The following is a 25,845-nucleotide window of genomic DNA, read 5'->3' as shown; positions in this document are numbered from 1 at the left end:
TGTTCATTCTGCACGGCAGACTTTTCTGGGTGCCCAATGTGTCAGCATGTCTAGGCCCAGGGGAGTCAGGGAGGCTCAGAAACAGACCTTAGCCTCAAAGGCCTTATGGAACTAGGTGATGGCAGTGTCACTTGAACATAAGTGACGACAGGGAGGTGGGACTGGCTGAATACTCTACCAGAGGCTTAGTGAAAGGGCTAAGGAAGTGCACGCGCACAGGCCATTTCCAGGTGGGGTGGTCAGGGAAGCCTTCCTGGAGGAGGTGGCACTGAGCTGGGAGGACCTAGAAGGGGTTGAGGAGAGGGAGTGGAAGTACAGCCCTGATAGTAGGAATAGCCTGAGCACGGGCACTAAGGCCTGTGAGTGTCTGTCACTTTTGTTCCTATGGTTAAGGCAGGGTCTGGGTCCTCACTCTCTCCAGCAAGTTCTCTGTAAGAGTGCATGGTTAGTGACGGCTCCTGGAGAGGAGGAAGACGTGGGCTTTCTAGAGAGAAGAAAGGAGCTGTGTTCCCTCATTGGCCTCAGTCTTTCTCTTCCCTCTCCTCATACCCCTCAGAAGTGCAGACATTGCAAAGCCCATCTCCCTTCAGAACTAAAGCCACCCCTCTGATAGCTGCATCCCTCCTAGGGAGAAAGAACTCCAGTGGCTGCCAAGAGCCCCTGCCAGATGCTCCTCCCCACCACCCTGGCATCTTGTGCATAGTAGATCTCGGGAAATGCCTCCATCATGACTGCTATTGGAAAGGAAGGCCAATCTCCTGTTTGTTGCCCAGAGTGCTGGCTGTGAGTCACCTGGAGTTTCCTAGGTGAGTAAGTCAGAAGGTTGAGGGAGGGGCAGGAACAGGCATGTGGAAAGAGAAAAAAAATGCACTAATATTTTAGAGGAGGGAGTGGGTACCCCCTGTTGTGGAAAATTCATTGAAGTTGTCAAGCAGGTGGTAGCATTGGCTAAGACAGCCTTTAAGATGGAGGAGGCTTTGAGAAGCAGACATGAGGAATGGTGGTGAGGGCAGGCCCCCCCAGGCACAGGGAACAGCATGGGCAAAGGCCCGGGGGTGGGATGGGGATAGTGTGGGCCACACACAGGAACAAATGGATGTGCCCTTTGGCTGAAAGCTGAGATGGGTAAAGAGGAGTCTTGGTATTGAGTTGCCAAGTTGGCATCTCCTTGGAGATGAGGAGAAGGGCCAGAGCATGGCCACTCTGCAGTGGGACTCTCTTGGGAAGGGCATGGAGAGCCTTTGGAAGTTCTTTTTTATTATTATTATTTTACTTTAAATTCTGGGATACGTGTGCAGAACTTGCAGGTTTGTTATATAGGCATGCATGTGCCGTGGTGGTTTGCTGCACCCATCAACCCGTCATCTAGGTTTTAAGCCCCTCATGCATTAGGTATTTGTCCTAATGCTTTACCTCCCCTTACCCCCCACCCCCTGAGAGGCCCCGGCATGTGATGTTCCCCTCCCTGTGGAAGTTCTTGAGCAGACAATGTTAAGAAGGGTAAACGGGCAACAGTTTCCACAATGCACTAGAGCCCAGAAAGGAGGCCACCAAGGGATTCCATGCAAGAGGTAGCAAGATACTGAGCTACCACTGTGTGGAAAGAAGCAAAGAAGGATGAAACAGGACTTATCAACAGGCCATTCCACAGAAACACAGGACTTCTAGTCCATCTTCCTGTTTTTCCATTGGGAAGACCAGTAAGAATTGCCCAAGGTCACCCAGCTGATCACGTAGTTGACATCTACTACACCTAGGATAGCAATCCTTAATCGATTGGTAGTGGCTGCCTGAAGGGTTGTATTGAGTCGTTCTGAGGCCTCATCCCAGATGAACTGGAAAGAATGGCATGATTGATTAATGATGTCTGCCACTAGCAAAGGAATTGAGGAATGGCTTGAGCTCCACCTGTTTGTTGTCTCTGCCCCCATAAGCCTCTCTGTGCCCCAGGGTGAATATTTCTGTCTTCCCCACCTTATAAAATACTTGCAGAGATCAACAAGATCATGTGTGCAAAAATGTTTGAAGACTATCAAGGCTGCCTAAGTAGGAGGGGTTGTTCCCATGATTATGCATGCCTGCGTTAGTCACCTTGATCCTGATGCCAGAAAAAGCACACAGCCCCCCAACATCTTCAACAGCTTTTACCCACCAAATGTCCCCAGTATATTGACTTGCTTTTTGACTAAGGAAGGTGTAGTCACAGGTGGCTGCACAGAGGCTGAGACTGGGAAGCAGATGGAGGTCTGACATGTTTAACAACTGTAGATTGAGGGCTCCGTGAGTCGCCCAGCTCCTCGGCATCTGGAATTGAGGGCAAGGCCACTTTCATGATCAGAAAGAGCCTGACACTGTGAGAAGGTGCAGCCAGTGAGCTGTTTCTGCTCCATATTGTTCAACTCCAGCCTCGGGCCATGATGGGCTTCACTCTGTCCCCTGAACACCATGGCGTCAGGTTAGCCACAGGCAGGACTCCTATCTGTACCTGTGGGTCGTGTCTCCTCACCTGCTTCCAGAAGAATGGATCCTGAGGTCTGGGGAAGTCGTTTCCAGTGGGCTCAGATCCACAGAGATTTTCTTTCCATGGGGGTTTTTGTAGGGAGATGACTTGGGGAAGCAGAGACTAGATTCAGACTCACAGGACCCAGATCGTGACCCCAGCTCTGCCACCCACCGGTTGTGGGACCTTGAGCAAGTCACTTAACCTCTGTGCCTCTGTTTCCTTGTCTCTGAAATGGGGATAAAATGATCTGCTCTGCTCAGCTCCGTGGGAAGGGTAAGATTTAACTCTCTGAGATAAACTTGCATTCTCAAAGAACTGCCATGTTTTAAAAGGCCTGTCATACCCATTTTCATATTTGAGTCTCACAGGGCTCCTGTGGGGTATACAGGGCAAGCGTGTATATGATCCTCATTTTACAGATGAGAAAATTGAGGCCCAGGGTCAAACTGCCAGTTAACGGTGATGATGGGGCTAATTTCAGGTGCCTGTGCTCAGCCTGTTGGGTGAGGGAGTGGTGGGGACACCCCATCTGAGAGCTCCAGTCAGGTGTTAAAAAGCCAGAAAGGGCACTGCCACTCACCCAGGTCTCCGCCACTGCCCTTCTGCTGTGGGGATGGGGCAAGCCTGCAATCCCCATAGTCTCCCCTGTGCCATCACGTGCCCTCTCTTCCCATCACACGCCTTTCCCCTGCCCATCAATCAACTCAGTGAGAGTCTCCCTTCCTCGGAGAGGCGGTTGCACAGTACCCATTGGTTAAGCCCAGCCCAGAGTTGGGAGCAGAATAAGTGTGTATTTATTTGTCCCTGAGGAGCCACTGTCGATCCCCTCAGTGACCTTTGACTCTTGTGTCTGGATGTGGAACATCTGCCTGAGTCACACAGTCTCTGCCTCTCAGGTCTCCTGGAGCCACCAACAAGATAACATTTCTTGAATACCTGCGTAGTGCCAGGCAGAGCCCTGTGCGGGTTCACGTAGGTCACCACTGACTCCTTACAGCTCCACCAGGTGTGTCAGTGAAGGAAGCTAAGTTATGCTCCAGCAACCTCTCATTTCCATGGCCTCTACCAGGTTTGTCTCTCACTTATGACTTTTGAAGGCTGGCGGGGACTTCTGTTCCATGTCCTCTTTGTTCTTACTCTGCAACCCAGACTGGCAGAGCAGCTGCCATCAGAGACACGGCTGGTCCCCATGGCAGAGAAAAGGCTTGGAGGGCCTTGCATCAGTGATTACATGAGCCAGCCCAGAAATGACATACATCATTTTTGCTCAGAAGCCATTGGCCAGAATGAGTCACGTGACCCCCGTGCAATCACTCAGGTGCTGAGAAACACTTGGAAACAGGAGCAGGGGAAGAACAGCACTTATTATTCCCATCTTACATTTGTGGGCATGGCAGTTGGAAGCCTGCCCATGGGCACACAAGGGAGTAGTCACGCTGGGAGCTAATGCAGTCATGGTTGCCCCAAAGCTCAGCCCATTCTTTGGCAACATCATGACCCTGAAGAAGGCTGCCCGGGGCTCAGAAGCAGCCTGGGGATGGTTATAGGGTCTCCAGGGACAGGATGACGTCAGCAGGCCTTTGGGATGGATGTCCTGGCTAGGGCCACTTTAATTTGTGGCATGTTAAAGGAATGATTAAATGACAAAGTGTTTCCAGGTGGTGTGGTCAGGGAAGCCTTCCTGGAGGAGGTGGCACTGAGCTGGGAGGACCCTTCCTGGCCAAATCCTTTGTGGAAAGGACACTTCTGTTCAACAAACAGGTACCAAGTTTCTCCCAGATGTCTAGCCAAAGCCTTACAGTCCAGCTGAGGAGCTGGGATGAACACAAATGGCAATCAAAAAGTCAGTCTGAAAGGCACAAAGAACACACATTGGGGAAAGAACACCCTCTTCAATAAATGGTGCTGGGAAAACTGGATAGCCACATGTAAGGGAAGGAAACTAGACTCCTATCTCACCATATACAAAAATCAAATCAAAATGGATTAAAGACTTATATGTAAGACCCACAACTACAAAACTACTAGAATAAAACATAGAAGAAATGCTTTAGGACATTGGTCCAGGCAAAGATTTTATGAGTAAGATTTCAAAAGCACAGGCAACCAAAACAAAAATTGACAAGAGGGAATATATCAGACAAAAAAGCTTCTGTATAGCAAAGGAAATAATCCACAGTGAAGAGACAACCTGTAGAATGGGAGAAAACATTTGCAAACTATTCATCCAGTAAGGGACTCATATACCAAATATACAAGGCACTCAAACAACACAACAGCAAAAAAAAATCTGATTTTAAAATGATCAGAGAACCTGCATAGATATTTCTCAAAAGAAGATACGCAAATGGCCAAGAAGTATATGAAAATATGCTCAGCATCACTAATCCTCAGGGAAATGCAAATCAAAACCACAATGAGATATTACTTCACCAAGTTAGAATGGCTATCATGCTAACAAAAGACAAAAAATAATGAATACTGGCAAGGATGTGGAGAAAAGGGAACTCTTACACACTGTTCGTGGGAATATAAATTAGTAAAGCCACAATGGAGAACAGTATGGAGCTTCCTCAAAAACCTACAAATAGAACTACCATATGATCCAGCAATCTCACTAGTGGGCATTTATCCAAAGGAAAATAAATCACTATATTGAAGAGATATCTGCACCCTCATGTTTACTGGATTGAAGCACTTTTCGCAATAGCAAAGATATGGGATCAACCTAAATGTCCATGGACAGATAAATGGATAAATGTGGCACACACAATGGAATATATTGAACTACGAAAGAATAGAATCCTTTCTGTTGCAGCAACATGGATTAACCTGGAGGACATTACATTACGTGAAATAAGTCATGCATGGAAAAATAAATACTGCAAGTTCTCATTCATATGTGGGAGTTTAAAAATGAGCTGGTAGAAGTCGAGAGTAGAACTGTGGTTACTAGAGGCTGGGAAGAGTAGAGGAGAGGTTGGTTAATGGATACAAAGTTACAACTACTAGAGAGGAATACCTTCTAAGGTTCTGTAGCACTGTAGGGTGAACACAGTTAACAATAATTTAGTGTATATTTTCAAAAAACTAGAAGAGAGGATTTTGAATGTTCACAACACAAAGAAAGACTAAATGTTTAAAGTGATGCATATGCTAATTACTCTGATTTGATCATTACACATTGTATGTATGTATTGAAATATCATTCTGTGTCCCATAGATACGTGCAGTTATTATGTGTCAAGTAAAAATAAAAGGAAAAAAATTTTTTTAAAGAGTCAGTCTGTCCTTAGGACTAGAAAAGTAGATGACTGAACAACCACATCTACTTTTGCTGCCTCTCAGAACTCACTAGAAAAACAGTAAATAGTGGCTTAAAATATATCTATATATCTGTAAAGATTGGGAAGCAGAAGAAACAACAGCAACAAAATATTGGAAGATGGAAAGCAGATGGGCCACTGTAAATGAAACCCAAGAAAATTGAATACTTACCCAGTAGTGGGAAAAGCAAGAGTCAACCAGGCTTACATTCAGAATTTTTAGAAGGCTCAGAAACTGGAGGCTCCAGATGCCTCTGGAAGTGGAAATGAAGAGGGGCTAAATAAGGGAACTGACTGAAAGTCTGTTTAAGAAAAAGACAGATCTCAGATTCTCTACCTCTAAATAAATTGATGTCTACAGCTAGATCTCTCACTCCCCTCAAAGATTGGAGGGTTATTTTCTTGAAGGGGTAATATAGGAGGGTCTCTTGACAGATGGGTACCAGCAAAAGTTGAGGGCAGAGGTCCCATATCACCTGCTGGAGAATTGAGTGAGTGTATCGTGTTGGTGCTGACACCACCTCCCTCCTAGCCCTCCACCCCTATTCTCCACCCAAGCCCTGGCAGCCAGGCTTCTCCTTTCAGGCAGGAGACTGGAATAGTCCTTCCTGAAGAATTTGAGCACCTCAAAAAGAAAGGGATGCTGACTTAGGAGCTCCCCAACTAGGTGACCCGGCAGACCTCCTTACAGGGGCACCGGCAGTTGACAACCCACTTCCAGCTAGCTGGCTCGTTCCTCATCGTCACACATGAGCCCACAGCCAGAGATTCACAGGCAGCTGAAGACAGCCTCTAACATGAAAGATCTCTATGTAGACACATAGAGCAATTTGGAGGAATAAGGCTCTGCAAGGGAAGAAATTACAAAATAAACAAGGAAAACTTGTTATTACTCCAGAAATAGATGAGATGTGCTATGAGAAAAACCTTCAACAAATTAAACTTAACAGAGTTCAATCAAGCAAGGAACAATTCATGAATCAGGCAGCCCTGGAACCAGAATAGGTTTAGAGAGGCTCCAGCATCATCTTTTGGTCAAAGAAGATTTATGGACAGAAAAAGGAAAGAGATGTACAGAAAATGGAAGTGAGGTACAGAAACAGCTGGATTGGTTACAGCTTGGCATTTGCCTTATATAAACATGGTTTGAACAGTTGGCCATCTTTAATTGGCCAAAACTTGGTGATTGGCACAAGAGTAGGTTACAGTCTGTTTACACATCCAATTAGGCTGCAGTTTACTATGTACAGAGAAACCTGTAGGTCAAACTTAAAATATGTAAGAAGATGCCTTTAGGATACACTTAATTTAACAGATGAGATTATAATCATGAAATAAGAACAGGATCCTATGAAAAAATTATAAAAATAGCTCTTTCTTTTCACTTCCTTTCTTCCTCTCAATGGTTCAAAAGCCATTAGGTGGAGCAGCATAACGTAGGTAGGTGTGTTCTTAGAGCTGGGGGTCTGGGGTGGTCCAGTGTCTGAGTCTATGTTTTGTTGCTTTAACAGAATACCTGAGACTGGGCAATTTATAATGAATAAAAATTTATTGGCCGGGCGCGGTGGCTCACGCCTGTAATCCCACCACTTTGGGAGGCCGAGGCGGGCAGATCACAAGGTCAGGAGATAGAGACCATCCTGGCTAACACGGTGAAACCCCATCTCTACTAAAAAATACAAAAAAAAATTTAGCCGGGCGTGGTGGCGGGCGCTTGTAGTCCCAGCTACTCTGGAGTGTGAGGCAGAAGAATGGCATGAACCTGGGAGGCGGAACTTGCAGTGAGCCGAGATTGCGCCACTGCACTCCAGCCTGGGTGACAGAGCAAGACTCCGTCCCCAAAAAAGAAAAAAAGGCTCATGGTTCTGGAAGCTGGGAGATCTAAAATCAAGGGTATGCATCTAGTAAGGGGCTTCTTGCCTTGATATAACATGGTGGGAGGCAGCACACGGGTGAGAGAGCGCTTGAGAAAGAGAAGGAAGGGGGCTGAGCTGATTTTTTAATAAGGATACCACTCCTACGATAATAAACCCAATCCCATGATAACAACATTAATCCATTCATGACAACAGAGCCCTCACAGCCTAATCACCTCTTAAAGGTCTCACCTCTTAACACTGTTGCACTGAGGATTAACTTTCCAACACGTGAAATTTGGGAGACACATTCAAACCACGGAATTCTGCCCCTGGCTTCCAAAATTCATGTCCTCACATACAAATTTCATTCCATCACAATAGCCCCAAAAGTCCAGAGTCTCATCTAAATCAGATATGGGTAAAACTAAAGGCATGATGAATTCTGAAACAAGTTCTTCTCCAGCTGTGAGCCTATGAGATTAGACAAGTTATGTGCTTCGAAAATACAATGGTAGGACAGACATAGGGTAGACATTGCCATTCCAAGAGGGAGAAATAGGCAAGAAAAGAGAGGTAACTGGTCCCAGGTAAGTCCACTACCCAACAAGGGGCATGTTAAATCTTAAAGTGGAAAATAATCTTTGACTCCATGTCCCAACTTCTGAGCATACTGGAGTAGGGTTGGGCCCCCAAGGCCTTGGGCAGCCCCACTCTTATGCTTTGCTGGGCTCAGCCTACAATGCGGCTCTATGGATTGGAGTTTTGTGCCTGCAGCCCTCCTGGGAATGTGATGCACACTGGTAGCTCTGTCATTCTGGGTCTCAGGAGTGGCTCCACCCTCATGGCTCCAGTAGGCATTGCACTAGTGGGACTTTCTGTGGTGGCTGTGGCAGCTCTGCCCCTGTGGCAGGTTTCTATCTAGGCCCTCAGGCTATCACATGACATCTTCTGAAATCTAGATGGAGGCCTCCAGGGCCCCACAGCTCATGCACTCCATGCATCTGCAGAGTCAGCATGATGTGGTTGCTTCCAAGGGTTACTGTGCCTTTCAGAGCTGCAGCACGAGCTGCCACTGGGCCTGGTTGAGTCATTGCTGGGACAGCCAAGGGGCACTGCACCAGAATACAAGGAGCGGAGTCCTGAGGCAGCCCTGGGCAGCAAGTGCAGAGGTCCCACAGGCGCCTCTCTGGATACTTCGGCGTCTAGGTCTGAGCTTCCCTTGAAGATCTCTGAAATGCCTTGTAGACCAGGACTCCCTGGAGAAACGACTGATTCAGAACTGGGGCAGAGAAAGTGCAAGATGAGTTTGGAGCATCTTGTGGGGCCAGAAAGCAAGGAAGTGCTCACAGAATGATGGGGACATGTCAAAAGGGCACAGGCACCACCCCAAAGGGGCTCCCATTGGTAGCACCAAAATATGTAATGTCGGTAACAGGTTTTAATCCATTGAGTAAAATAAGAAACCATGAGTCCATATTCGCATGAATAAATAAAGGAATAAATTGAACAGGATAGTTACATAGTATCAAAGGGCCTCCCACGAAAATACATACCAATTACAAAGAGCGAAAGAATAAGTCTCAGGGAGAAGTCTGGCAGATGCCACCCTCATCGAGTGATCGGGATGGACATCAACAGGAATGGAACACATGGAAACCCTGCCCCGCCTGTGGGTTGCAGCAAAGAGACAGCATCACAGAACAGCCCTGCGGAATTCCCGCCAGAGATGCAGGACCTGAATCTAGTCATGAGAAACATCAGACAACCCCAGACTGAGGGACATCCCACAATAGCGCGGTGGTGGGAACGTCAAGGAAATGCCAAGGAGCTGTTGTAAACAGAAGCCGACTGGGGACTTGACAACTACGAGAAGCATGATTCTGACCTGCATTCTTTGCTACAAAGAACATCATGGGGAAAATGGCAAAACAGTGCGGCACCTGGAGATTACGTGGCAGTGATGCTTCACTGTTTATTTGCTGATTTTGGTGGCTATAGAGAGGTTAGTTAGAAGATAACTTTATTTACAGGAAACAGGCACTAAAGAATTTGGTGGCCAGGCGTGGTGGCTCACGTCTGTAATCCCAGCACTTTGGGACACCGAGGCGGGTGGATCACCTGGGGTCAGGAGTTTGAGACCAGCCTGTCCAACATGGTGAAACCCTGTCTCTACTAAAAATACAAAAATTAGCAGGGCGTGGTGGTGGGCACCTGTAATCCCAGCTACTTGGGAGGCTGAGGCAGGAGAATTACTTGAACCTAGGAGGCAGAGGTTGCAGTGAGCCAAGATTGTGGCATTGCACTCTAGCCTGGGCGACAGAGCGAGACTCCATCTAAAAAAAAAAAGAATTTGGTGAACCTGGGGAGTGATTTCAGCAAGTTACTCTTAATGGTTCGGGGAGAGGGGGAGAATTACTTGTACTGTACTTACAACTTTTCTGCATGTATGACATTATTTCAAAATGAAAAATAATTAAAACTTAACAGGTAACAAAAAGTGAAAGGGCCTTCGCTCTAGCTTTGGGAGAACGTTTGAAGGCATGTTTCTTTGTTGGTGCGAGGGCGCCCTCGTGTGGTTATTCAGGCACAATGCAGCACGAAGGTCCAAGTGGGGTCTGACACCTGGTTCCTCTTCTACAGCTGTAGATGTCCTCAGAGGTCATCTCATCCAACCCCTTGTCTCTGGCCAGGGTTTCTCCTCACCTAGATCATAAAGATACCTGTGTCTTCAGCCTCCAGAGTTCCAGAATCCCTTTCTGGCCCTGCCGCTGGGAACTGCCCTGAGGGGTATACCCCTTGTAGGTTCTCTGGACATGAAGTAAGCTGTGAGCCACGGTGATGAGGGGCTGGGCCAGCCACAAGGGCTGCAGAGGACGGAGCCCAGCGGGAAGGGCCCTAACCTCTGCCCAGCCTTGGGCACATCACCTCCCTGCTTGTAACTTCCGTTTCTTCATTTCTGCATTGGAAACCATGAGACTTGCCCAGACTTTCACGGGAGCTAATGAGAGGAAAAAAATGGGTCCCAGTTTCCAATTAATGGGTGACCACATGTCCGAGGCACCTGGGGAAAGCCTGATTTACACCTGCTGCCCGGCGTAATTACTAATGACCCCTCGTTCTTGCTCACAACTGTCTCTGTTCAGAAAATACATCATCCGGTCACCCTACCAAGTATAGACGATATCCCGGGTGAATGAGAAATCACACAGTCACTCTGCCACCTGTGGGCTCACTTCCTAATGGATTTTTGAATCGTTTATTCCCACCCATTCCACTTTGGACATGACCCTTGTCAGAGCAATGAATGCAAACTCATGTTAGTGTCACCGTTAACAAATCACAGAGAGTGAGTCCGATCTGAGAGGGGAGCTAAGTCCACCTTTGGGGGCTGGGCACTTGGTGGCCAGCTAGCAGGGCAGCAGCTCTTTCTCTGAAACTCCAGGATCTTGGGCAGGCAGCTGGGCCCCAGGGGCCTGAGCGTGTAGGTTACAAAGTGAATTGTTGAAAAAGATATTTAAGATCATAGTTTAGTTTTGTGATGGAGGAAAATGAAAGCAGCATCTCAGTCCCTCTTTTTGGAAAGGGAAATCCAAGCCTTTGAGTGCTAGGGTGGGGCAGAGGTGGGTGAGGGGTGAGCAAGAGTGACAGCGTTTGTGTTTTGGGGGCTGCCACCAGATTTGGTCATCTTAGGGTGGATCTGGCTTTTCCTGGGGTGCGGGCAGGCCTGGGGGGATAGGGTGCCCTCAGGATCAGGGAGAGGGTGAAAAAGTACCTGGAAGAAGATGGTGGCTCTGGATGCTCTGCTGGGAGAGGAGATGAGGAGGTTGTGAGTTCCAGAGATGGGGTCCTGTGCCTGCTTCCCAGTGCTGGCAGGGCTTTGTTGGGCTGGTGGTGGGGGTCAGGGGACTGGACAGGGGTCTTTGGTGGCTCTGGGCATAGCCAGCAGACTGGAGCATATCAGTAGCTGGCTCCATGCTGCAGGGGCCAGAGGTCCTGTAGCAGACATTTGCAGAGGAAGGGGCAGCATCAACGTCAATGTCACAGCCTGGGCTATGGGCTCGGCCCTGCCCCATGTCCGGGGACACCATGTCCATGAGCAACTTCTTATAGGACTGAAGAAGGGGTGGGGATATAGAGTGCTGCAGAAATGCTCTAGAAATTGGCCCTTGTGGGCCGGGCGCGGTGGCTCACGCCTGTAACCCTAGCACTTTGGGAGGCTGAGGCGGGCAGATCACTTGAGGTCAGGAGTTCGAGATCAGCCTGGCCAACATGGTGAAACCCCGTCTCTACTAAAAACACAAAAATTAGCCAGGTATGGTGGTGGACGCCTGTAATCCCAGCTACTTGGGAGGCTGAGGCAGGAGAATCACTTGAAACTGGGAGGTGGAGGTTGCAGTGAGCCAAGATCATGCCACTGTACTCCAGCCTGGGCGACAGAGTGAGACTTGTCTCCAAAAAAAAAAAAAAAAAAAAAAAAACCAAGAAGAAGAAAGAAATTGGCCCTTGTAAAGAGGGTATGATGGAAGGCATGGGGATACAGGTGAGCTTGATTTAGAAAACTGAAGGACTGGGACATTTCTTAGACCCAAGTGTAAAGAAGGCTTCAGACCAACTGTAGGAACTCAATGAGTTCCTCTGAGAGGGAGCAGGCTTTCAGGAAGCTGGGCTTGGGGCGCAGCAGAGACTTGGAGTTCAAGTTTCATTTTTCTTCATTATTATTTTTTAAATGTACATTCATGTGCAAAGGGCATATGTTCTAGAAAACAGGAAATATGAGTGTTTCTATGACAGGAGGTCATTGTGAAGTGTGCCATTGAGTGGGGTACCTTCCATGGCCAGGTGCTTTGGGACAGGATCTCAGACCCTCACATCCACTCTGTAGACAGAGACTATTACCCGCATTTTTCAGATGGGGAAACTGAGGCTCCATGGGGAGCCGTGACCCCGCTGAGCTCTTACAGGCAGGTAAGTGACGGGGCTGGGATTTGTCTGTCTGTGTTGTGGCCACTACACCCCACGACCTGCCTGCGCCGTACTCCAGCTCGGCTGCTCATTCCCTGGGCCTCTTTGGGTTTCAGGCCCTGGCCTTTGGAGCTGTGGTGGGAGAGCTCGTGAGGAGTCCTGGAAGACCGCGACCCTGTGGAGGCACCTGGTGGTAGCCGGGGGGTTGTTGATGGGTGGTAGGGTCAGCAGTCAGAAACAGGAGCTGTTTGCTGCCGGGGCGGGGACAAGCCAGGGCCCCGGGACTGCTCTGTGCATGTCCCTGGCCTGGCCCCAAGCCCTGCACTTCACTTCCACCTTGCAGATCTTGCCAACTTGAACCCTACAGAGAGGGGGGTTCTGGGAAAAGCAGTTCTGAACCTCAGGGGAGAGCAAAGGTGCCAAGTGACACCCGGCCCAGCACAGTGCCTCTGGGGCCTGGCCTTGTTGCTCCGGGTGCAGAGTCCTCCTTTGCAAGGGAAAATCCTTCGCCAGCCCTGGCCTCCTTGGCAGACTCCACAAATGGGTGTGTGCAGGGAGCCTGGCAGCTGCTTTGTGCTTAACACACATCACTGAGTCCAAATAGAAGGTCTTACCTTAAAACATAACTTACAGAGAACACATGGTGACGCTGTGGGCTGGGAGAGCTTCGTATCAAGGTAGCAGCTGCATCTTCAGGCTCTTCAGTGTCCCGAGGGAACTGTCAGGTCTCTCAGGGCAGGTGCGGGCTCTGGGGGAAGCTGCAGTTGGGAAGACAGCTTGGCAGCTGCCCCTGCCCCTGCCCCTGCCCCTGACACACACTGGACATGGACACAAACCAGCCCCACCAGGCCCCCTGCCGCAGCCTGGAGCCAGGTAGCGTGGCTTAGCACTGTGACCCCGCAGGGGGCCCTGGGCTCCTACATTCTGAAGGGAAAGAAGAGGGAGGGAGGGAGGGAGACAGGACAGGGAGGTGGGGAGCCACTTCCATCCCTCTCTGGTTTCCTCTCCCCATCCTCCCCTCTCCTCTCTGACCATCCTAAGGGGCCCTCAATGCTGTACAGGTTACAGAGTCCCCCTTTCTCCCTATGGCCCCTGCTCTGGCATTAAGATGTGGGGATGAGAGAGGGAGAGCAGGGCCCTTTCCCTGCCCCCCAGAGCTGGCCCTGCTGGGGGTTCAGGCGCCTGTCTCTAGAGCAGGCTCTGGTAGCCTGGGCAGCTGCTTTCAGAGAGGGCTTTGTGCAAGTGACCTCATGCTTTCTCTTCCTGCGGGGGAAGCACCACCAGAAGGAAGCCTGGCCTGGGGGTCCCAGAATGAAGCCAAACTCCATCACCCCTCTCTCACGCCAATCCCTACCTGCCAAACACCCCTTCAACTTTCTCCACAGAATTAGCCAATTAGAAAAAGCTTCTCTTCCCAGGGCCTGTAGAGAGGCAGCCCCAAGTGGGATGGGCTGTGTTGGGACAAGGGACAAAGATGTGAGGCTGAGTCCGGCCCCTGCTGTGGGCTGGCTGTGAACCTTTGGGTGAGTTTCTTTCTAAGCTTTGGACCTGAGTTTCTGCCTGTGATGAGCAAGCTCGCGCCTGCCTCACCAGCCCATAAGCAGGATGGGTGGGAGGTGAGTTCAGCCCCCAGCACAGTGCCAGGCGCATGGTAGACACGCAATAAAGTACAATGTGGGATTTTTTTTTTTCCCAGAGATGGAGTCTTGCTCTGTTGCCCAGGCTGGAGTGCAGTGGCACAATCTCGGCTCACTGCAACCTCTACCTCCCGGGTTCAAGTGATTCTCCTCCCTCAGCCTCCCAAGTAGCTGGGATTACAGGCACGCACCACTGTGCCCAGCTTTTTGTATTTTTAGTAGAGACAGGGTTTCACCATGTTGTCCAGGCTGCTCTCGAACTCCTGACCGCATGATCCACCTGCCTGGGCCTCCCAAAGTGCTGGGATTACAGGCTTGCACCACCATGCCTGGACTTTTTTTTTTTTTTTTTTTTTTGAGACAGTATCACTCTGTTGCCCAGGCTGGAGTGCAGTGGCACGATTGCAACTCACTGCAACCTCCAACCCCTGGCTTCAAGCAATCCTCCCACCTCAGCCTCCCAAAGCTCTGGAATTACAGGTGTGAGCCACTGTGCCCGGCCTATATGTATTGTTTTTTGTTTGCTTGTTTGTTTGGGACGTGGTCTCGCTCTGTTACCCAGGCTGGAATGCAGTGGTGCGATCTTGGCTCACTGCAGCCTTGACCTCCCAGGCTCAAGCGATCCTCCTACCTCAGCCTCACCAAACAGCTGGGATTACAGGCTCACACCACCATGCCTGGCTAATTTTTTGTTGTTGTTGTTGTAGAGGTGGGATTTCGCCAGGTTGCCCATGCTGGTCTTGAACTCCTGGACTCAAGTGATCCACCTGCCCTGGCCTCCCAAAGTGCTGGGATTACAGGCTATATATTGCTAAAGAAAGAAAAAGCACCAATGGCTGAAGCTAGAGAGACCTTGCTGAGGAAAAGGGAACCAAAAATGGGAAATAGCGGCCTGGTAAAGAGGTGTGGCCAGAGGACAGCATGGAGCACAGCCAGGAGAAACTGTTCTGGGTGAAGAGGTGAGTCTGGGAGCTTTGGAGGGGGTGTACGGAGAGTGAGCTATTGACCTGTTTCCAACACTAAGTCCTCTTTGAGTGGTCCCACCTCTGATGACATCTCCATCCCCTTAGCTCTGCAGGCCAGAAACCCAGCGGGCAGCTTTCGTACTTCCCCTCATCCCATATCCAATTCATCTGCAAGCCTTGCTGAGTTTGCCTCCTAAAAAGCTCTTGCATGTGCTCACTTCTCATGCCCCGGCAAACCATGAGAACAGCAGAGGGATGGGCATGAAGGCTGGGCAGCCAGAGGGTTGGACAGCAGTGGTCCCAAGCCCTTGCTGCATTCGTGCAACACACCCTGGCGTGTGGCCCAGTACAGAACATAGCCCCACCTTGCTGCGCCGAGGACGTGGACATCTGATCTAAGCTTGGCCCCTTTGCTTCTTCCAAGCTGGAGGCGGATTATAAGTGAGTGATGAGAAGAAGTAAGGGCAGTTCTGTACTCATCCTCGCAGCAAGGCCCAGGGCCAGTGCTGGCAACCTCACCAGGTAATCCCTGCAGTGTGGATCCAGCTGGGGACGGAACGCCTGGCTTCCCTCACCCCTGTGCACTTCCTATGCCTGGGTCTCCCGCCTTCGCGTCAGCTCTGAGTGCTGCTCAAGAGCCTTCCGATGTGTTCCCTGTTTAATACATGGTTAGTTTCTGTTAGTGTCTGGCTACAAAATGAGCTGCAGTCGAATCCGGGAGTTCAGAGACAAGGGGGATGGATCAGGATTTGGGTGGAGGACTTCTGGAAGGAGGTGGGACTTGAACAGAAGTTTAAAGGAAGGGAGAGGGCTTTCCAGGGGAAGGAAAGTCTGCCCACAGTGAAAGGAAAGCTAGAACAGTGAGCAGCAATGAGGTGAGGGAGCGTTTCTGGGAATAGAAGGGAACTTTGGGGGCTCCCTAATTTATAGCCCCTTCCTGGTAGGACCAGCCCTGACTCTAAGTACATATCACTGTCATTTCACTAAAATGAAAACTGCCTCAAGATTCACGTATGCATATGGCTTTCATTAGGAGGTATGATTAACTCACTTCATTTGTTCATTCTTCAGATTTAATTGGGTGTCTGCTTAGTGGCAGGTGCTGTGTTGGTCACTGGGGACACTGAGATGAATACATATAATCCTTGACCAATCCACAAATTCAGTTCAGAGGGACAGACAGGTACCAGTCCCATGCAGCACGGCAAGGCTATGCTGGGGAATTACATGACATTTGGGGGCACAAAGGAGGCAGCAGGGACCTCTGCCTGTGATGAGTCAGAAAAGAACTTCAGAAAGTAGGTTTCAGTTCACACTAACATGTCAATGACTAACATGGCATGAGATCTGTTCCTGAGACAGAAGAGCAAGTTAATATCTGCCTCATTTGCCTGGAGTCAGGATTGATAGACAGGTTTTGACAGCCAGTAGGGAAGCAGGATAGTGCTGTAGTTAGAAGCATAAGCTTTAACACCAGAATACCTGGATTCGAGCCTCAGATCTGCTATATATATGCCATCTGACCCAAGCCAATGACTTAGCCTCTCCGAGCTTGTTTCCTTAACTGGAACATAGGAATAAACAGAAGATTTACCTCATAGAATTTGGGGGAAGATGAAATAAGATAATACAAACAGTGTACCCAGCACACAGTGAACACTCAGCACATGTCAAATAAAAAGTCAAGCTCACTCTGAAGAGGGGAGAGGATAACTAAGGAGAGTGAAAGGCCTCAAAAGTAAGGCTGATAAAATAAAATGTAAATAATAGTAACCAATGAATATTATATGTTATCATCAATGCACGTATAGATATGCTTTTTTTCCTCATTTAATCTTCCTCATAACTCTGTGAAGCAAGTCTCATCATCTTCATTTTCAATTCTATTTGTTGCAACCCCTTCTTTTTATAGAGGAGGAAACTGAGGCTCAGAGGGGAAGCCATTTCCCCAAGGCCTCGCACACAGCGTGAAGATGCAGTCTGGGTCTTCAGGCCACGCACCTGTGCTTTTGTTTGAGCCTCTTAATGTGGCTGCCTGGGAGGGCTGGAGGGGACCCTGGCCTGAGCCAAGGCTGGGAGGCTGCACTGGGCACTGCAGGTGTGACTGTTGAGGAGACAGAGCTGGCTGAAGTGGAGGCTCTGCACTGGGGAGCAACCAGGAGGGTTCAGTGGCGATCCCTGAGGGAAGATAGACAAGTGGGCAGGGAGGCGAGGCAGACGCCTTACAAATGAAAAGGCAGAAGCCAAATGTTGTAGCCTTTTTTGGGGCAGAGGGGTGGCCTGCAGGGACTGGAGGCAGGGTCTGGTGGCAGAGCTCTGGGCTCCTGCACTAGGGGAATGTCCTCCCAGGGCCAGGCTTTTCCACATATCTCCTCTTGCCCAAGTAGACATTATAATTCCTCCTCTGCCATTCAGAACACGGAGGTTCGGAGAAGTGCAGTCACTGGCCCAGGGTCACAGAGAAAGGAAGTGGCAAACCATCACTCAAACCAGGGTCTTCTGTCTCTGATGCTATCTTCCTTCCAAAACATGATCCTAGCAGCTAATAAGAATCGTTGACGACTGACTAGGAGCCACAGACAGTGCCGAGCACTTTACCTGGATTACCTGTAACCTGTAATGTCCCTCCCTCATTTTATGGAGTAGGAACCTCAGGCTCAGAGAGGTTATGTGAGATGCCTGAAGCCACACAGCATTATAACCCAGATCTTTCTTGACTCAGAAGCCCATACTCCTTTCTCTATAGCTTGTTTCCTGAAGTGTGTTCCATGTCATGCCCATTGGCATCCTGGCAGTGGAGGTGTTGGTGAACAAACATTTTGGGAAACATTGGGTTAGACAGTGATCTTCATGTTAAGGTTTCTCAGAACCTGTAATAATCTATTTCATGAATCTCTGGCAGTGGAAATTGGTATACACAAACTGATTTGGTCCTTAGAACTCTTTTATCATTAAACATTGCATTGGTTAGAAATGTGTTGAGTTGCAAATAAGAGAACCACCTCCCTCAGTAGTGGCCAGGAACCAGTACAGAAATAAGCAGTCCAGGGCTGATGTGGTGGCTCAGTCATGGTACTGGGAAACCAGACTCTTCCAGCTTCCTGCTCTGCCCTCCTTAACATGTAGCTTTCATCCTGATGGTTGCAAAACGACCACAGCCCTTTCAGGCACCACAGCTACATTCCAGGCAGGAAGAAGGAGAAGGCAAGGTGCAAAGGTGAGTTTGAACCTTTATATCCTGGAAGCATCCTCCAGCTGACTTCTGCTTACATCTCATTGGCCAGAAGTATGTCACTTGATCACTCTAGCTGCAAAGGAGCCTGGGAGAGTGAGTATTTCTAAGGAGTACATTATCAGTTGAATGGAATCTGAGGTCTATGCGTAAGAAAGAAGGGGAGGATGGATACCACAAAACCCCTTCTGGGATTAGTGTTCTGTGAACCTAATTTGGAATATGTTGCTCTATACTCAAGCACCACCCCCTCCCCTTTATTTTTCTGCCTGAAGTCAACTCACTTTCCAAGGCCTACAAATGGTCCCTCCTCTGCCAAGGCTCTCAGATTTCCCCTACCTCCTACTTCATACCCCTTCCTCCTTGGCAGTTGGTGCACTCCTTATCAGTACATTGTGGGTTGTGTAGGAGTGAGGAATACGGAAGTCCAGCTCCCCTATTTTGTTACCTATCTGCTGCTGGAGGGCAAGGACATATCTTACTTGCATTGGTATCTACTGCAGGGCAAGCCCTGGCACAAAAGCCAATTAATTGTATGAATGGAATGAATAGGCAGAAAGTGGTTCAGAAAGCCTTGCTTGGTTAATTGAAGCAAGCACCAACTTAAGCCAGTATAAACAGAAAAGCAGACTCTTTAAGAAGGATCCAGAGGGCTTTGGGGAACACAGGGCCAGAATGTAGGCAGGGCTCAGGACAGGATGGGGACAGTCTGAAAGGGCATTAGGATGCCAGGCAGCCTCTCTCCACATGGGTTATTTCATTCCTGTCTTAGAACCTTGGGGCTGCTATAACAAAATGCCATAAACTGGGTGGCTTATAAGCAACAGAGATCTATTTCTCATGGTTCTGGAGGCTGGGAAGTCCAAGACCAAGCTGCTGGCAGATTATGTATCTGGTGATGATGGCCTGCTTTCTGGTTCAGAGATGGCACCTTCTCACTGTATTTTCACATGATGAAAGGCGCAAGGGTCTTTCTGGGGTCTCTTTATAAGGGCACTAATCCCATTTATAAAGGCTCCACCCTCATGATCTAGCCACGGGCCCCACCTCCTGAAACCATCACTTTGCGGGTGAGGGTTTCAACACATGAATTTAGGGGACAGGCAAATATTCAGACCAAAGCAGTTTTGCACTGTCTACAGCCCATTTTTCTCTGCATCTCTGTCTAGGAGGCAGGAAGAAGATGGTGGTCCCTGGGTTCCCAGTGTAAATTAGCTCCAGACCCAACTGACCCACTTGGTCCAATTCCTTAGCCTGGGGAAAGACTCTGAGTAGCCCAACTTGGGTCAGGTATCACCACCTGTGTCTTCCCAGGGTGGGCCAATCAATTGAGTCCACGAGAGTGGGGTGGGGAGGAGGTAGTAGGGCTCATGCAGTGCAGCAGGTGAGGGACAGTTAAAGCAGATACACCAAGATGTGACTACCTCAACTTCAGATGTTGTCATATAGCAGGGGTCAGCAGATGATGACCCATGGGCTAAATCCAGCCTGCCACCATTTTGGCAAGTAAGGTTTTATTGGAACACAGCTATGCTCATCTGTTTATGTATTGTCCGTGGCTGCTTTCACACTGCAACAGTGGAGTTGAAGACGTGACAAAGACCATGTGGGCTGCCAAGCCAGATATTTTTTATCTGGCCCTTCCTAGAGCCTGTTTGCCAATGCCTGTATTATAGGGAAGAAGAATGTCTGTCGAGGAGACAGGGGGAAAGGATCTGTCGTTCAGATCTGTATCCCCAAAGGCCATGGCAGGGGCAGCCGGATGGATAGACGGACGGACAGATGGACAGATGGATGGATGGATGAATTAGAAAGGCAGAAGCTGGAGCCGCTGCGAGTTCTCAGACCACTTCCTTGGATTTTGAGCAGTGCAGAGGGACGCTGGGGAAGGGTGTTTTTTCCTCCTTGTTCGCTCAGCCCCACATCTGCTCTTAATTGAGGCGTAGTGGTACAAGCCTGATTGGGAATAGCAGGGGCTGGGATGTGGTGAACATTAGGGAATAGTCACTTGGCGGGCTCCGGAGCTGCCAAAAACGAAAGTGTGCCGCTCGGCCAGATGTCTGCTCATTACCATCCGCTCTTCCTCAAAAACGTTTTAAGAGAACATTTGTTTGTTGAGGAAACACAGCTGTTCCCAGGGAAATGGGTTTCCCTCCTATGGGCAGAGAAGTGGGGGAGGGGACTGTCGGGAGAGGGACACTGGGGACGCCGTGGGTGGGTGGCAGCGAAAGACTCTCTGTCCGGCCAAGGGCGGGGGTCTGCGTGGACTGCCCTTCCGGACGGACATCCGTCCATCCTTTAGAGACTGTCAAGTCCTGGTGCTCGCCTTGCAGGCTGACTTTCTCCACACTCGTGTGAAGGAAGGACTGCTAGCTGGGTTTCCCAGAGAAGGAAGCAGAGGCTGAAAGGTGAAGTGACTTGACCAAGGCCACAGGCTCATCAGTGGCTGAGCCCAGCCCTGCAGCTGGACTCTGGTCACTAAGACTCTGGCCGGTGCACAGGCCCCTCATGCTCTGGCTTAGTCTGGGGTGTGTCTCCTTTGGGTCTCAGCCTTAGAATCTCCACTTTCCAGCTTGCTTGCACTTCTGTCTCTGCATCTCACTTTTAATTTCCTGTATCTGTTTGTCTCTTCCTTCCCAACCCGGGTCTTCTGTGTTTTCCACTTGATTCTGCCTGCCTCCCACTCTGCCCTTCTCGGGGGACCATGCCAGCATCTGTGGGTGTGCAGCTGCGGCTGAGCGGGGCTCTTCCTCCATCTCTGTCTCACTGTTTCTCTGACTCACCCGCTGTGTCCCTCTCCACACCTGTCTTTCTTTGTGCCCAACCGGTGCCCCAAGACACCATCTTGGTGTCTGGGGCAGGATCCGTATGATTTTGCCTCCACTGGGGCAACTTACTTTTCTCTCTCCTTGGTGAATATTTCTTTTTTCTTTCTTTCTTTTTTTTTTTTTTTTTTCAGATAGTGCTTTTCCAGTTGTGTGTCATGACCACTGATGGATCATGAAATCAATCAATAAATGCTAGGTTGTGACCAGTAACTTAAAAAAGGAAAAAAAAAAAGGATAGAAAATATCCGAATGTGTTGTACACACTATTTTGTGAATTATTTGTTTCAGTTCTCTGTATGGATCTGGATTCCAATGTAAAATATTTTCACAATGAGATTTGATTTAAAAATGTTTGAAAACCATTGAGTAAAAGTGCTTTGGCCACAAGTAGCAGAAAAGTCTGACCCAAAAGGCCCCAAAAGAAGGAATTAATTATCACCACTATAAGAAGCCCAGGGGGCGGGGCTGGTGAATCAGGGGCTGGACAATATCATCAGGGAGTCAGGTTCTTTCCTGTTTTGCCCTTGGCCCTCCTCAGTGAGCCAGCTTTCTGCCCTCATGGTCACAAGGTGGGTGCTGTGGCTCCATCCACCCTGACAGGTCCAAGAGAGTAGGAACTGTCTCCTCCCTGACACCCCTTTGTAAAAACCAGGAAATCTTTCCTCTCACATTTTACTGGCCAGGACACATGCCCACCCCTTAACTTGTCACTGGCAAAGGAGGCAGGTTTACCATGAATGGCTTTCACTAACCAGAATGGAGCTCTTCCCACAGCAGATGGCTGTGCAGAGGAGAGTGGGCAACAGAGGCCGGGGGCTTCTCTTGCCAAGGAGAAGATGGAGAAGCCTGTGGGCCCCACTGCCACCATCTGCCCCAGCCTCTCATATCCCTTCTGCCTGGGTGCCTGCCTCAGTGTCCCTTTAGTCCCTCTTTCGGTCTGTCTTGAGGGGAGGCCATGGCCTGTGAGGGGTATCATTTAGGCTCTCTGTGTTCATTTCCTGTGGCTGCTGTAACAAATCGCCACAAACTGGGTGGCTGAAAGCAACAGAAATCAATTCCCTCACAGTTCCGGAGGCCAGAAGACCCAAATCAAGGCCAGCAGGGCTGGGATCCCTCTGAAGGCTCTAGGGGAGAATCCTTCCTTCACTCCGCCAGCTTCTGGTGGCCCCGGGCATCTTGGCTTTTGGCAGCATCACTCCTGTCTCTGCCTCTGTCTTCCCATGGTGTGAGCATGTGAGTCTGTGCGTGTGTGTGTGAGAGCATGTGTGAGCGTGTGCATGAGTGTGCATGTGAGAGTGTGTGAGCCTGTGCATGTGTGAGTGTGAGCATGTGCGAGCATGTACATGAGTGCATGTGTGTGTGTGAGCATGTCAGCCTGTGCATGTGTGCTAGTGTGAGTATGTGTGAGTGTGTGCATGATCCTCAACTTAATTACATCTGAAAAGACCTTTTGTTCCAAATAAACTCACATTCACAGGTTCCTGGATGTGGGAATATATTTGGGGGTCACCCTTCGACCAAGGCAGTAGGGCCTATGAGCTGTTAGAAAAACATCCCTGATCCCCCCTTGAGGGTTATAGGGCCCCATTGTTTCTATTCACTGTGAGCCTCTTAGACTACACTTAGTAGCTTCTGCTGATGAGGTGACTCAAGGTGGGCCCCTCCATCATTTACACTAACAAGATAATTCAGGATAAGGACTGTCTATGTCAGGAAAAGCAGTCATGGCATTAGAGAGCTGGGGCTTTGAGTCATAGTACATCAGCCTGACCTCTGGGGAGGGGAGGTGGGTTGGAGATTGAATTCCATCATGTGGGCAATAATTGCATCAATTATGGCTATATGAAACTCCAATAAAAACTCTGGACACTGAAGCTTGGGTGAGCTGCCCTGGTTGGCAGTCCTCTGAGTTGGCCACATTCAAAGCTGAGAGGGTGATGTGTCCCTGAGGGTAGTGGGGGCTTTGCATTTGAAATCCACCCATACCTTGCATACATGTCTCTCTCTCTCTGGTTGGCTCTGATTTGTAACCTTCTGCTATAATAAAACTATAATGGCCAAAAAGACAAATGCTGTAGGATTCCACTTATACAAGGCACCTAGGGGGTCAAATTTATGGACACTGAAACAGTTCCAGGGTGGTTGCCAGGAGCTGGAAGGAGGGATGGGGAATGGTTGTTTGATGGGTACAGAGTTTCGATTTTGGAAGGTGACAAGCATTCCCACGATTAGCTGCACAGCAATGCCAGTGTGCTTAGCACTGCTGAACTGGACACCGAAAAATGGCTAAGATGGTAAATTTTATGCTATGTGTATGTTACTACAGTTTAAAAAATTATAATCTTAAATATAGTGCCTTTCTGAGTCCTGTGAGTCTTTCTAGCAAATTATCAAACCTGAGGGTGATCATGGGAACTCCTAAATTTGTAGCCAACTGGTTAGAGGGCGGGTGGCCTGGGGAACCCGTGAGCTTGCAGCTGATGTCTGGAGTGAGGACAGTCTTGCAGAGGACTGTGCCCATTACCTGTGAAGTGTGGCCGCACTCCACGTAGATGAGAAAAGGGGAGGAAGAAAGTGAGAGCTGACTTTTGCACCAAGTGGCTTTTGGAATCCCACCCAGCCCTTTCTGTGATTCCTTTACAAAGACCCCCAGCTCCGGAGCACTGCCCCCTGCCCACCACCACCTATCGGTTCCACTTACCAGTGCTGGGCTCCTTCCCTTTGATTCCTTTTTTAGGATGTGTGTGTGTATGAGTGTGAGTGTGTGTGTGAGCATGAGTGTGTGTGAGTGAACATGTGAGTGTGTGAGAGAACATGAGTGTGTGTGAGTGGGAGCATGTGTGATCCTGTGCATGTGTGTGACTGTATGTGAGCGTGTGTGTGCCTGCATGAGTGTGTGTGACCATGTACATGAGTGTGCATGTGGGTGTGTGTGACCGTGTGTGTGAATGCATGTGGGTGTGTGTGACCATGTGTGTGAATGCATGTGTGTGAGCATGTGTGAGCATATGCATGTGTGTGAGCGTGTGTGAGCGTGTGCATGAGTGTGCATGTGTGAGTATGTGAGCATATGCATGTGTGAGCATGCGCATGAGTGTGCATGTGTATGTGAGCCTGTGCATGTGTGCAAGTGTGAGCATGTGTGAGCGAGTGCATGAGTGTGCATGTGAGTTTGTGAGCCTGTGCATGTGTGTGTGAGCATGTGCGAGCATGTGCATGAGTGCATGTGTGAGTGTGAGCATGTGAGCATGTGCATGAGTGTGTATGTGTGAGAGTGTGCGTGAGTGTGCATGTGTGAGTGCATTCTCTTCCCATCAGGACTGTGAGCTCCTCTAGGCCTAGAACTAGACTTTCTACCTTTCTGTTGCTTGCACCACCAAAGTGTTTCCTGATGAACGGATCCAGACTTCTCTCTCTTCCCAGCCTGAAGGGCTGCCTCTTTGGTGGGCACTCACTGCCGTGCTTCTATCCTAAGAGTTTGTTTCTTTGAGTTTGTGCTGGATTGCTCTTTGGAGTCCTTGTAGACAACAGGAAGGAAGAGAGCTGTTCAGCTACAATCCAGCACAGTGACTAACAAAACAAACAAAACACTGCCTGGCTGCACCCCGAGCTCGCCACCCCCACCTGTGGTCCTGACGCCAAGAGGAGGGATCAGACCCTCCTTCCCTAGGATGACCTCGCAGTCCTTGGGGATGCGGACTGTTTAATTAGAACACCTTCAGTCGGAAACGCTCATCCATTTATAGGGAAAACAGCAACAGGCTTTTAAGGACATGCCATAAGTTTTACAGTTATTGGATTTTTCAACTTGTTTACAAAAGCAATATTGTTAAATGGCCAACGGCCAGGCCCAGTTGTTTTTCCTCCTGTGCCTTCTGACGACAGGAAGGCATATTATCTCCCCCCAGCCAGCTCCCGGGAGGTGTGTGCAACTGCATTCCATTTTGCTATCTGTTTAATTATCCATTCAGCCCAGCTTACACTAAAGCTCTTTCTCGTTTATTCACAGCCAGATCTGCTCTGGAATGCAGCAAAGAGCTCCTTCCTGCTTTCTCAGCCCCTGCAGCAGCTCCTGCTTCACTCCAAGAAAATGCCAGCCCCCTAAGAACCTGTCCCTTTGGAACAGTGGATCCAAAAGCTGACCCAAGAGACCTTGAACTTAACACCTCTGTGTCATGGGCTCCTTAATGATAGAAAGAAGATTGCTTTAGAAGACTGGTTTGCAAACCAGTCTGCTGGGCACTAGAAGCCTTGGGAAGATTTGAAAAATAAATCTTATTGGCCTCACCATTTCACATTCTGACTTAGAGGGTGTGGGCTCTCTAATCTGATTGTGTTTTTTTCTGTTTTTGTTTTTGTTTTTGAGACAGAGTCTTACTCTTTTGCCCAGGCTGGAGTGCAGTGGCGCGATCTCGGCTCACTGCAACCTCCACCTCCCAGTTTCAAGCGATTCTCCTGCCTCAGCCTCCCGAGTAGCTGGAATTACAGGCATGCACCACCACACCTAACTAATTTTTGTATTTTTAGTAGAGA

At 49.2% G+C, this 25,845-nt stretch overlaps 1 long non-coding RNA gene across 1 annotated transcript, besides 2 other annotated features; it reads left to right on the top strand.

Moving 5' to 3' along the window:
* Window positions 1-1,200: an enhancer, noted in NCBI's record as "CDK7 strongly-dependent group 2 enhancer chr15:67248284-67249483 (GRCh37/hg19 assembly coordinates)". NCBI's record gives its function as "activates an origin of replication core promoter dependent on BRD2, BRD4, P300/CBP, MED14 and CDK7 cofactors, with strong dependence on CDK7, by STARR-seq in HCT116 cells {active_cell/tissue: HCT116}" and the evidence as "EXISTENCE:reporter gene assay evidence [ECO:0000049][PMID:35650434]".
* On the top strand, window positions 631-25,609 carry SMASR (SMAD3 associated long non-coding RNA). Its single transcript, NR_135687.1, has 3 exons — window positions 631-806; window positions 14,995-15,246; window positions 25,322-25,609. It is a non-coding gene; the product is annotated as an SMAD3 associated long non-coding RNA (long non-coding RNA).
* Window positions 8,701-8,995: a silencer, noted in NCBI's record as "tiled region #9309; K562 Repressive non-DNase unmatched - State 7:EnhWF". NCBI's record gives its function as "represses a minimal TATA promoter and a strong SV40 promoter by Sharpr-MPRA in K562 cells {active_cell/tissue: K562}" and the evidence as "EXISTENCE:reporter gene assay evidence [ECO:0000049][PMID:27701403]".
* Window positions 25,610-25,845: the final 236 nt, after the last annotated feature.

This window comes from Homo sapiens, chromosome 15 (genome assembly GCF_000001405.40).
Source record: "Homo sapiens chromosome 15, GRCh38.p14 Primary Assembly".
Lineage (NCBI taxonomy): Eukaryota > Metazoa > Chordata > Mammalia > Primates > Hominidae > Homo > Homo sapiens.
Note: the sequence above shows the minus strand (reverse complement) of the source record. Positions and strands in the feature narration are given on the sequence as shown.